This window comes from Homo sapiens, chromosome X (genome assembly GCF_000001405.40).
Source record: "Homo sapiens chromosome X, GRCh38.p14 Primary Assembly".
In the NCBI taxonomy this organism is placed as follows: domain Eukaryota; kingdom Metazoa; phylum Chordata; class Mammalia; order Primates; family Hominidae; genus Homo; species Homo sapiens.
In genome coordinates this window covers 132118799-132132411 of record NC_000023.11, presented here as the reverse complement: position 1 = coordinate 132132411, position 13613 = coordinate 132118799, and the positions used below count along the sequence as shown (strand labels likewise).

At 40.5% G+C, this 13613-nt stretch overlaps 1 protein-coding gene and 1 pseudogene across 3 annotated transcripts in view, besides 1 other annotated feature; both read left to right on the top strand.

The window, feature by feature from the left end:
• On the top strand, positions 1029–2103 carry AGKP2 (AGK pseudogene 2; annotated as a pseudogene).
• FRMD7 (FERM domain containing 7) overlaps positions 4392–13613 on the top strand; it is a 51031-nt gene continuing 41809 nt past the window's right edge. For all 3 annotated transcript variants that reach the window (XM_017029948.3, NM_001306193.2, NM_194277.3), the window contains exon 1: positions 4392–4624. In XM_017029948.3, coding sequence (XP_016885437.1) covers positions 4596–4624 — 29 coding nt within the window. In that variant the 5' untranslated portion in view covers positions 4392–4595. The remainder of the gene's footprint in view (positions 4625–13613) is intronic.
• Positions 12298–13233: an enhancer, noted in NCBI's record as "NANOG-H3K27ac-H3K4me1 hESC enhancer chrX:131253207-131254142 (GRCh37/hg19 assembly coordinates)". NCBI's record gives its function as "activates a minimal SCP1, AML or CMV promoter by ChIP-STARR-seq in naive H9 embryonic stem cells {active_cell/tissue: H9 hESC(naive)}" and the evidence as "EXISTENCE:reporter gene assay evidence [ECO:0000049][PMID:30033119]".

Sequence of the window (13613 nt, the reverse complement as noted above, 5' to 3'; positions counted from 1 at the left end):
GACAGAGCGAGACTCCATCTCAAAAAAAAAAAAAAGTAATGGCCCTTAAACATATGAAAAGATGCTTGACTTCTCTCATAATATGAAAAGTACACCAAGATTTTTTTTCTCACCTATCAGTTTGGTAAACATTCAAAAGTTCGATACTCCACTGTCAAGCCTGTATAGAAAACAGTCACTCTCATATATTACTAATGGGACTGCAATGTAGCACAACCTTTATTAGTTTGGTAGGGCTGCCATATGAAATATCACAGACCGGGTGGCTTAAACAACAGAAAGTTATTTTCTCACCATTCTGCAGGCTAGAAGTCTGAGATCAAGGTGTTGGCAGGACTGGTTTCTTCTGACACCTCTCTCCATGGCTCATAGATGTACATCTTCTCCTCTATGTGTCTTCATGTTGTCTTCCCTCTCTACATGTCTGTGTCCTACTCTCTTTTAATAAGGACACCAGTCAAACTGGATTACGACCCACCCTAATGACCTCATTTCAACTTAATTACTTCTTTAGAGACCCTCTCTCCTAATGCAGTCACATTCTGAGTTACTAGGGCTCAGGACTTCAATGTATGAATTTTATGGGTCACAATTCAACCCATACTAACCCTTATGGAAGGAAATATAGCTATCATGACTACCAATTCATTATCCTTGACCAGCAACTCTACTTCTGGAAATCTATCCTACAGATATATCTGCACACATATAAATTGACATATGTATGAAGATATTCATTTCAGTCTTGTTGAGGCTGAAATATTAATTTCAGACTGGCTGAGTGAACTTTGGTTTGTCTACACAGTGCAAAATTATGCAGCTGTGAAAAGAAATGAGGAAGTTCTCCATGCACAGGTAAGGGCAGATCTCCATGATAAATGAGGAAAAAGAATGCACAAAACAGTGTAATACTAGTATGCTACCTACATAGGATATATATATATATTTGTATTTGCTTGTATAAAATTTGCATAAGGAAACACTGAAGGCTGAACAACTACAACAAAACGCTAATAAAAGTGGTTATTGAGTGGGACCAGCCATGCAAATCTCTAGAAGATGACGGTGTTCTTTAAAACACTTCAAAATCATTGGAAGAAAACTACAGCTGGGCTCTTCCTGCTGACCTGGGGAGGCCAGTGGCTCTATGGAAAACACTGTGATAACCTACTAAGGAGAGCAGCCTGTGAAGAAGCTCAGGTGTTTGGCAATCAACTCATTCCTCCCAATGCACAAGTGAAGAAGGAAACTGTTTTTCTCAATCCTGCAGCTTGCAAAGGCAAAGCCAGGATTCTATTTGAAAAAAATGCTGCCCCGATTTTACATTTATCCCAGCATAGGTGTGACTAGTGTTAAGACAGATTATGAGGGACAAGCCAAGAAATTCCTGGAACTGATAGAAAACACATATGTGATCATTGTTACAGGAGGAGATGGGACACTGCAGGAGGTTGTTACTGGAGTTCTTCGATGAACAGATGAGGCTACCTTCAGTAAGATTCCCATTGGATTTATCCCACTGGGACAGACCAGTAGTTTGAATCATAACCTCTTTACTGAAAGTGGAAACAGAGTCCAACATATTACTGATGCTACACTTGCCATTGTGAACAGAGAGACAGTTCCATTTGACGTCTTGCAGATCAAGGGTGAAAAGGAACAGCCTGTGTTTGCAATGACTGGCCTTTGGTGGGGATCCCTCAGAGATGCTGGCATCAAAGTTAGCAGGTACTGATATCTTGGGTCTCTAAAAATCAAAGCAGCCCACTTTTTCAGCACTCTTAAGGAGTGGCCTCAGACTCATGAAACTTCTATCTTGTATACAGGACCTACAGAGAGACCTGCCAATGAACCAGAGGAGACCCCTGTACGAAGGCCTTCTTTGTACAGGAGAATATTACGGAGGCTTGCATCTTACTGGGCACAACCACAGGATGCCCTTTCCCAAGAGGTGAGCCGAGAGGTCTGGAAAGATGTGCAGTTGTCCACCATTGAACTGTCCATCACAACACGGAACAATCAGCTTGACCGAACATGCAAAGATTTTATGAACATCTGCATTGAAGCCGACACCGTCAGCAAAGGAGGCTTTATAACTATAGGAAGCCTAAAGGTGAGAAAAGCCAAGCTGGACACTGAGGGCATGGAGTGTCTCCAAGCCAGCCAGTACACTTTGCTTGTCCCCAAGGGAGCAGGGAGCTCTTTTAGCATTGACAGTGAGGAGTATGAAGCGATGCCTGTGGAAGTGAAACTGCTCCCCAGGAAGCTGCAGTTCTTCTGTGATCCTAGGAAGAAAGAACAGATGCTGGCAAGCTCCACCCAGTGAGCAGGCAGACGACAAGTACTCCGAGACCACATTTTAGGCCACCGGTGGGACCAAAAGGGAACAGGTGCCTCAACCATCCCAACAGTGTTCTCAGAGGCTCTCAAGGGCATTTTCATGGCAACTACCCCTCTGCCAGCCTCCAGCAGTGCTTCCCAAAGTGTTCTCTGTCACCTGCTTTGCAATCAGCTTCTGTTAGGGCATGTTTTGTTTTGGTGTGACGGTCGACCCTCCTAAACACGGGCTTTCCTCAGGCTGGTTCAAGATGGGAAAGGACTTTCTTCTGTTTTCTCCCAAAGTGCAACCACAGTGGAAAGCCCACAGTGGGCTTAGCCTGCCTAAGCCCTTCCATTCCCATTCTATTCTTTGATTGTACTAGGAATTCCAGGAAAAGTGCCTTCCTTCCCTGGTGACCTTTTCCTATTTCTAGCCTCCTCCACGGGTGCTGCTATTTTGAGAGCTCCGGCTCTTGTTTAGCTTTTATTTCAATTCTATCCTCAGTCCAGGTATGTATGTGAGGTTGTTTCCCTCTTCAGCCATGGCTATAATACTGTAAAATGCTAGTTTTTATTTTTTAAGTAGTGCTTCTTAAATGGTTTGCATGAGAGCCACTTGGAGTGCATGTTGAAAATTGATCTATTTGGGGTCCACCCCAAACCTAACAACCCAATTTGGGGATGGGGTTCAGGTATCGGCATTTTTAAAAAGTCAGCCACCCTTCCCAGGTGATTCTGTAAGTTGGTCCCTCAACCGTACTTAGAGAAATAGTGTTTTAAAGCAGTGGTCCACAAAGTATTCTGCTCATGTGACCCCCAAAAGTATTTTGAAAAATCATGTGTCCCCTCACCCATCTAAGTTGACATCTAAAATTTTTCATGGGAAGTTAAATACTTGACAAAGTATGTGTTTGCTGGTGTCATATAAATATTGGTATTTTAAAATAAAAACTGTTACATCACTATTTTAAACATATCCGGTACAATTTAAATATCACAACAATTTGACACCCTTTATTCATTTATAAAAATAAACGAGCTAGTTCTTTAGTAGTTGAACATTTTAAATTGGCTTTTCTTCTTCTATATTTTCATACCACTTTCAGCCAAGAATCCTATCGTAATGTAATCTACTGTGCTTGGCATCTTTTAATCATTCACCCATTATCTTCTTGTCAACAAAAAATACAAATGGAGGTAAGTTTTCTTAGTTCTTGCCTTAAGTGTTATCTCAGTCCAGAATAAATGTCATCGTAATTATTGTTATATAATGAAAATGATATTAATGTAATTCTTTGATGACTGTTTTATTAGAACGTTCTTTATCCTAATTAGTTCATTTATCCAAGAATACATGAATGTTATTTACAGCTGAGATGGGGTTCGACCTTAGTTGTATTCCTTGTTTCATTTCTTTATAGATGTAAGCACATAAATTCTATGGGAATAGAAAGAAAAAAAATTGGTTACCAATAGGGGTGTATTGGGAACACAGAAAAGAGGGAACAGGAGTGGAAGTGAAGTTTTCTATATACCTTTTTATATAGTTTTTATTTCTAAATCATGTGAATTCAGATAATTAAAATTATGCATAATTTTATATTATATATGTTTCTATATAATAGCAATTATATGGATATATTATATCTATATAATTATATATGGATATATTATATCTATATAATTATATATGGATATATTATATCTATATAATTATATATAGATATATATAAGCATAGATAGATAGATAGATAGATAGATAGATAGATAGATAGATAGATAGATGCTTCCTAGCTTGGCCATGAAATTTCTAGTACAATTTGAGATTAACTTGAATCTTTTTACTTTTGAGAATGGCTATTCTCAGTTTATTAAAGCTTGATCTAGGGTTTTCAAATTGTGCCCTTGTGAAATAAAGAAAATCCCCAGGGACCACAAATGCTTGCTTTCTTTATATTTTTCTTTGAAGAAAGGAGCTGAGTTTAAGAAGGCTAGAGGAAGTCCAGTTAGATTTGATATTGACCAAACAGGAGACTGCCCAGATGCTATTGATCCCCTGCACTTGGCAGCACAAATGCCCTTGGGTGTGCATTACTTCAAGCAAACGGAAGTGTGCCCCGCTGACAGTGGGAATGCCTGGCTGGGGGTGGGGGGGCCCGAGTGCACCACATCCAGCTGGGAGTGAAATTCCTGGAGAAAGCACCCACAGCACTCTGAGCCTGCTTGCAGCCCAACGGCCTCGCTGAGAATGCTACATTTAAAAGTGCAGTTTTTGGATGATTCCCAGAAGATTTTTGTGGTTGATGTAAGTGGAAATCACATTGCTATTATTCCTTTATTATTCATTCAATAATTGTCATTTGTGAACAGCCCATTAGAGAGCAATGTTATGTCTTCTTTAGGACTGAATGAAGGAGGACTGTGATTTTTAGCTTTGGAAAAATAATCTGTATTTAACATCACAATGTAGTTCATATTTTTCCATTAACCTTTCTCTTAGAACAAGTTGTCTTTTCTCAAGGGACAACAATAGCAAATTTTAAAGACAGGATAACTATTTGCAAAAAGTAAAGCAGCAATAAACTAGTTCTTTTACCCAATAAGGTATTGTTGTTCATTGAAATTATGTCTGTGGGTCTCACCCCATGAGCATTTGTGGGGAGAAAACTGTTGTTCTGAGGGAAAGGAGTGGGGGAAGCTATCCTCCTTTTCTGAAGAAAACCTATGGGTTATAAGGGGTAGAATTATGTAGTTGTAATGAGAACTTCAGGAAGGAATGACAAGTATGAGAGAGAAAAATAGGATAAGAGACTATTTAGTTTGATTTAGTACTTATAGTTCAGAGTTCTTAATAAATTCCTAGCTACAAGATGATTGCATACAATTATACCTCATCTCTTCAAGAAAGAACAAATGTATTAAGCACATCATTTGGTGCTCATGTTCCAACATCTTAAGATATGTACATTTTGATGTCAGGATTTATGTATGAGCATTTTGAAAAGTTCTACATTTTTATTGGAACCAAAAATGCTATTTGCTCTGATATTTACATTAGCCACTAACAAGAGACAAATAGTTTATTTTCTCTGAAATTCATACAAAATGTTGGTTTTTTTCTTTTATACATAAACTGACAACTGCTGTGGCTCAGCCATGATGTTGTGTGTGTGGGTAGCCCATTTTTCCAATGAGTATTTTATTTTTATTTGAATCATGTGCTTTGTGAGTGATGACTTCATGTCTTCATCTGCTGTTTTGCTGTCTCTTCCTTTCAGTTTTATGCGCAAAAGGCATTTCTAGTTCCACGGACCTGAATGATTTGTTTTTGTAGCAAATAGCTTCCATTAGAGGTATGAGGCATTTCCTATTCTTTCTTGGAACTATATTTAAGGGGTGGAAAATATCTTTTGAGTAGTTTATCCATTTGCAGACTGGTGGTGTATGCTCACAGTGCTGCAGTACCTGAATTAGTGAGCTGGGTATTCAAAAGATATTGCTTTAGGCTAAGTTTTTAATAGATATTTCAAGGAACTCAAAGAGAAATCTTTGACAAAAAGTGACAGAAGAGTTTGTTGAATGTGCAGTCTAATTCAGATCCATTTAAATGGGGTGGAGGGTGGGTAAGGAACACAGTACCATATCTTCACAAAATTCACCTACGGAAGAGCCACTTCCAGCAACTAGAAGACTTGATTTGGCTTCAAGTCAAACTGTCTCTTTCCAGCTGCAACACATTGTGTTCCTTGGAAAGATAATGGGAGAGATTTGATACCCAGCAATTCAGGTGTCAAAGCATGTGATCCCTTTTGCTCTGTGGAAGAATGCTTTGTAAGTAGCAACCATGGTGTTACCCAGAGAGGCAATAGCATTGGCTGCAGTACTGTGAGTGGCTTTGTCCAGAGGAGTTAGAAGCTTAAGTTAGCATTCAATCATCCAATAGTACCTTCTCTGCTTAACAATAATAGATTGATGATGATGATGATGATGATGATAGTGATGATGATGATAATGGTGGTGATGATGATGATAGCAGTAGTGAGTCATCTGTGGATAGCACTTTAAAATTTACAAAGCACTTTCACATCCATTAGTTCATTTGATCTTCCATTCAGCCTTGTGAGTGAAGGTAGGGAAAAGATCTTTTCCCATTTTGTAAGTTAAAAGATGGAGGCTCAGGGAACTTAAGTGACGTGTGCACAATCACACAGCATATAATTGCAGAGCTGGACTTCCAATCCAGAACTCTCCCCTCTCCTTCATATACAATTGTAAACAGTAGACTCATCTGTCAGTAGCCTTCAGTATTGCCGATGCACATTATTTATTTTCTGATGACCTCACAAGGCATAGAACTTGGCACACAGTGAGCTTTTGATGACTATTGTGAACCAGTTAGTAGACCCTTCTTTTCTTAATCATGGTTGAAGAATTATGTGGGACAGTGTTCCCTCAAGGTCAGGGAGACAATGGTGTGAATCTTTTCACCTATTCAAACACTTAAAAAAGCAACCTAAAGAATGCTCTATTTTATTAGTACTAACATTCCAAATTTGATGAAGAAATGCTTGGAACCATAATGAAGAGAACCCATTGATAGCTGAGGAAGGCCACATGGAGGACCTTTTGATACTAAACTGAAATCTCAAGAGGCATGGATCATAACCAGGGAAAATTGTCCTTCAAGATAAGATTCAAGAAAATAATTGGTTGCATAAGGGAACATAGTGGACTCTTGGGTATTGGTGTTGATTTTATAGAAAGTGCAGTGGTAGAAATATAAAAAGGACACATGATCAGATAAAATAATGTCACCTGGAGAAAGCTCATTGACATCCAGAACCCTTTCTCCACCCCCAGTACTATTATCTTCCTGAATTTGCCAGTGTCCAAGGTCTAACTCAGGCCTCCTGACTAAGAAGCCTGTTTTGTCACTACTCCACAAGAACTGGAGTCAGAGACTGACATTTAAAATTAGAATGCTAGTGTCACCATTTACAGTGGGATTGGGGACACTGGGGTCCTCTCATCATTTATATGCCAAATGATGTCAGAAGAGCCAGATCTGGAAGAATTAGATATATGATCCTAATATTCGATGGCTTGGTAATGCATCTGTGTCCACAGAGGCCATGGCATTGAGACCTTTTAGTCACGTATTCATTAATTAACTCATTTAGTTAACAAATTATTATTGAGGACCTAATATGTCCCAGGCCCAGTTCTGGGAACAGTAGACTCTGCTATATTGGTAGGTAAAGTTCGTGAGCAAGAGCACACTCTGGCCTGGACATACTGCCTGGATGCTACCAATTTTGGCCTTGGTTATTCCTTTTTCTGTCATTGCATGATTGACAACTCCGCTTTCTGATCATCCTACTGTTTTTAACTTGTTAATACTTTCAGTTAGTTTATTAGAAAGAGTGGCTGCTCCCAAATACATCTTGTTTTCCTGAGGTTTCTTTGCATATTTGTGCTCTGAGTCACTTGGTGTTGATTTTATAGATAAATTCTCTGAAAATATTAGTCAACCTTTTCTTTCATGAACTTCCAATAGTGTTTAGGGGTGCAGGATAGGTTATGGGACTTCACAATTGCTAGAATGTGCCTACTAAAGTACAATCCAATGAAGAAAATGAATTTAGTGAAAATGTCATCTTACTTTTCAAGCCCTCATATTTATTTCATAAACTGATCATTGTCAAATATTAGCATTATTCTTAGGGCTGATCTTACAACGGACAGCTTATCTTTAGACTGTCAAGGAAGGCTCTCTAGAATGATGATGGGAGTGGGTGAGTGAGACTAAAAATTGAATAAGGTCATGATTTACAAATTAATTGCAGGTTTTATTGTATATTTGGTTTTGCTTCTTCAACATGGAGACTAGAACTTTTCTTGAAGGAAAAAAGGAAGATAAGACCAAAGTTAAAGCTTTGTGAGATATTAGAAACAATAGAGGGTCAAGTTTCTAGCTTGACTATCAATCTCTTCAATATACACACATGCACATGCATGTGTGCACACACTCTCACACACAGTAGTAGTGATGAGTGCCTTTGGAGAGCAACCTCTTGTTTGCTCATCTCAGGTTACATAGAGAGTTGTACAAAATGGTCATCCCATCACCGTATTTGACACAGTTCTATCTGATATCCCTTTTTGCCTGCTGCATTTCTGTCTTTGTAAAAGCTGTTATTTCTGAATTTCCAAAATGATGTTTCACTTTGATGGTTTCTGGAGACTAAAGTCAAAACGAGATGTTAAAACATCTCTACTTTCACATTTACCTGATTGCTAAGTGATTGTACTGGCCATGCAGTGGGTACCCAGTAACAGAATATAGTAAGTTAGCTCACCTGATTCCCTTGGGAGCCCATGATAAAGGCCACTAGGCCTCATTTTTGGAAAGAGACAGAGAGGCAGTGCCAGGACCGAACACTGTTCAAGTTAAGTAGGAAAGCAAAGCACAGTGATTTTTAAATTTATTAGTGGTGGAATTTACCCTTGGGATGTTTGCCCAGGGGTTGGTTTTTAAATTTGCGATGATGAAGGATCTTTTGTAGTTTAGTCAACAGTGAAATAGATAACTGATTCTGTCACTTCATAAGGCAAAGTTCTTCCAACTTCAATGATATGAAATTGCTTTGGTGTAATAGAAGGTACCTGGATTTGGGACTACAAAAACTACCAAAAAACCCACCACTTTAGCTATGTAATCTTGGACTAATCACTTATCCCCTTAGCTTGCTGAGTTGTTGCGAGGAGTAATACAAATTAGGTAATGTATATTTGGAGTCTGATAAACCAGGATAGATTTGACTCTGCCACTGACAAGCTGTGGAGCCGTGGGTAAGTCACTTAGGCTATTTGAGCCTTAGTTCTGTCAACTGTAAATCCTAGACTTGGGGTGCCAGGAAAAACTTCCAGAAGAACAAACCATTTAAGTTGCTGAGTAGGAGTTAAGAAGGTGAAGATCGAGAGGTAGATTGTGGGGGAAGTATGGTGATCTACACAAAGGGAAGAACGAAGGCCAATATTCAAGAGAACATGGTCCTTTCACAGAACAAAAGGGTCAATCTAAGTGAAGAATGGAGTATTGAAAGGAAAATGGCAGTGACTGGAGGTCAAAGTTGAAGAAGAGGTTGGCAGCTAGACCTTTCAGGCAATGTATTCTATATGTGAAGAAGTGTGAGAAGTGTGGTCTTTATCCTGAAGGTGGCAGAGACCACTGAAGGGTTTAAAAGTGGGGACATTAGCCTCTGCTCATCATGCATTAATTTATGCATTTATTCATTCAGACTATATTTAATAAAAATATGTTCTAAGTGCTAGAGATGCCAGGTAGAATCTGAATGTTACCATCAAGTTTAGTGGATCCAATTTTAGAGGGTCAAACTATATCCAAACACATATGCCCAAACATCGATATTGCAGCCTACTAGGGTTCTGAACTTCGTCAATGGTGAAGACAGACAGGAAGGATGAATAAAAGACATGCTAATGAGGTAGAATTTCTAGAACCATTTGATGCCACACTTTTGGATATGGGAGATATGTGAGAAAGGATCTAAATGACCTTCAAGTTTCTAGCTTAAGTGGCTGGTGGGATGATGGCCCCATTCACCAAGATAGAGAACAGAATAGAAGGAGCAAGTTTAGAAGGGATAATGATTGGTTTTGTTTGAGATTTATAGATGGGATTATGGAAGGAAAAATACATCTGGAGTAGGGCAGACCTGAATTCTAGACCAAACCCCAACAATTTGAAGGTGTGAGACTTCAGGTGGGTCACTTCAGCTCTCTGAGGATGTGCCCTTATCACTAAAGTGGAGATGATCCTAGCATCTACCTCATGAGATCATTGTCATGATAAATGAGATATCAGGGATAAGGTTCCTGACACAAAGCGGGTGCTCAAATTTGTTAATTCCCCTCTCCCTGGCTTACAGACCTCCTTATTTCTGTACTTTGCAAACCAACAAAGAACAGTCTTTCACTTTCAACTGGACTTTCTTTTGATGATGCTTGATTTTGCAACCCACCTCCAGGTAATAGAGCTGTGCTCCCCCATTTCTGCGCTTCCTGTAGGGTTAATTTACCCTGCCTTTTTGCATGCTTTGGCCTCTGTTTACTCAGCAGCCCCAAGAGATTTGCTCTTCCCTTTGGAGTCATTAATCCTGGAAGGGTCCATAAGAACTCCCTAGAGTTACCTAAAATAATGTAGGGCTTCCTTTAAGGAAGCAGATGGAAATAGCCAAACCCTTTGCATTTTACTACATTCTAAATTGTTCCATGGTCATTATTCACAGTTAGGGTAATACAGTTAATAATAATAACAATAATATTACTGAATAATAATCACAAATAGCATTTATCAACAATTTTCTAGATGTATTTCCCATGCACTACCTTACATAAGTCTCATGCACATCAAATAAGTGTCACTGACTAGGGTTTTTATATAACTTCTCTGTGCCTTGGGTTTTTTTTTTTAATCTATAAAATGGGGATAATATTAGTACCTGCTCCATAGGGTCCTAACAAAGGTTAAATGAATTAATATATGTAAAACACTCAGACTAGTACTAGAAAGTGCTATATAAGTGTTTGCTACACTCATGCCTCATGGAATTCACTCCAATTTTAGATGGTGAACACATGTCCTGCTTCTTATGTCCAAGCAGTAATACTCCAAGCTGACTAGGCCTAAAATATTATGTTTATCTCTATTTTATGAGTATGTGAACTGAGGCACAGAGAGGTTGACTTACCCAAAGTCATATGGCTATTTAAGTTAACAGGTGAGCTGGGATTCAAGCCCCACTTTGTCTGGCTTCAAAATCCTGTCTGGACATTGATTAGATGGTAGGCTTCTGACTCAAGCGTGATTTCTGTATATGCAGTGAAACTTCCTGGTTTTCCAGAACTTTATGATGTATCCTCTAGCAGATACATCACAAGCAGCCTGCCTAAACAGCCTGCCCCATGCTAGGTGGGATCAATCGATGTTTGTTGATAGACTGACCAACAGACTGAGCAGATCAGCTCACCACCACCCCGTGCCTGTACAAAGAAAGCCAAGTGAAGGAGCTTCTAAACCCAGGTCAGAAAGATCATCCTGGAATCATAACGTTCCAATCTAGCCAATGTTGGCTGTCCCTTTGCCAGGGATTCATTTGTCATTGCAGGGGACCCATACTGCTTGGTGAATGCCTTTGTTTAAACTGAACTTCCTCTGTCGTTCATATCCTGAGGTTTGTTGCTTTGGAGAATAAATTGAACTGAAAAAAAGTGCTTGTGCTTTCTCTGGCCCCAGGCCAGGCTGAGCAGTGGGTCAAGCATGGTTTGGGTGCTGCCTGCCCCACCCTCTGGGAGCCCCACATCTCCTGCTGTCACATGGCTTCCAGGCTGCTTTCCTGCTCCAGTTCAGAGCAAAGGCAGGGCCTCCAGCCTTCCCACTCCCACTCCTACCTGCCCCTTGGCTTCCCATCCCCACAGCTGAAAGGAGGAGGGAACCCGAACGCAAAAACATTTGAGGCCATGGCGGAAGAGATTGGGGAACTGGCTTTGGAGCTATAGGTGGGTGGCGTTTGGCTGTTTGTTCAAGTCTGCACTCGTGGGAATCTCTGTGGAAAATTTCAGTTAGTCGGGGCCTTGCCGCCTCTTCACCTTTCATCGCAGGGCAGGCCTGCCTGCTGCCTGGTGCTGGGGAGGAGTAGCAGAAGTTGGTTCACTGCCCTGCAGCCAGAACGATCTGCAGATCTTCCCTCCGAATTAGACTCGCCAGAGATGATTCCTCTGAATTCTATAGGAGTTTCTCTCTCCCGCTTTTAAATACCCTGCATTTGCATCATTGTTTTGACCTGTCACAAACACAAATGTATTACTCTAATAAAGGCTTAACTTTAATTTGTGCCTTAGGACAATGAAGCTGTCAGTTGCAACTTGGAGAAATTCTTCAAACTGACTGAGCTGAGTCCAAATTGTCTTGGGGTCAAAAGGGCATGGCCTGAGGGGGAAAATCATCTGGGAGGCGGCTGGACTGGCCCAGTCATTTCCTAAAAGAGCCTGGAGACTGCCAGCCCAGCAGCAGGGAGCAGTGCCTAGCTTTTGTGATACTAGGTGCCTCTTAGCAGCTTTGTGCCAGACTGTCAGAACTGGAAAAACATTCCGTGAGACCAGTTCTACTGCTGAGAGAACCACCCTTAACAGTTCATTTACACCCCAGGAGGTAGTGCCGAGCTGGCCAATGAGGTGCTAGGGCAAGGCACCACTGAGAAGACCTGCTGAAGGCTACAAAGCTCAGGAAGAATGAAAGGTGATAGGCGTTCCGAGGAACATTTTTCTGGGGGCTGCGGAACTCTCTGATGTATATAGCTTGCCTGGTTCTAAACACAGCTGCTGTGCAAAAGCTACAATTATTACCCCCACATCATCTAATTTCAGCCCCTTTTTCTGTATTCCTTCTCAGCCTCTTTACCCACTTCCTCCTCTTCTGGGTCCAAGGTGTGGGGCCAGAAAGGGGAGGTTTGGCTGGGTGAGCTGACCCCAGGCCCTGGAAGCACTTAGGCATGGCGCTTCACCACTAATCGCTGGGCTTAGTTGTCTTAAACAAGAGGTCCTTTGTCCTCTGAGATTCCTTCTATGATGACGAAATTCACCTTTCAACAGACTTTTAAAAAGACAAAGATTCTCCAGAACTTCACACTCAGAACATTTTAAGTGATTGTAAGAGATCTGTGACAAAGTTACTGTCAATTGCCTTTAATGCTATGAGATTTCATTTCCTGACCTAGCTGCATGCCAGGAACTTCCACTTACATTATTTCATACAATCATTACTTAATACGTCTGTGAAATAGGTATGATTATGCTCCTTCATTCATTCATCACTCACTTAACAAGTCCTCACTGAATCCACACACTGTGTTGGCTATTGAGGATGCAGAGATGAATGAGAAATAGTACCTAATCTCAAAGAGATCATGGGCTAGGGGAAGAATCAGAGATATAAGCAGGTATGTATATTATGGTGTGATGTGTACAAATGACAGTGGAAAGGATAATTTTTTTTTCTAGCACAGCAAAAGAGGGGCATCTAACCTAGATTGAAGTGTGTATGTGGAGGGGACGGACAGGCAAGGTTTTTCTAAGGAAGGTGATGTCTAATCTGAACCCCAGATAGCCAGTACTAATTATTTAGGTATGTGTTGGGGAGTTGGGGGGCTGTGGGGGAGCAGAGATGAAGGTTGGTCCAGACAAAGGGAGAAGCAGGAAAAGGCCTGTGGAGT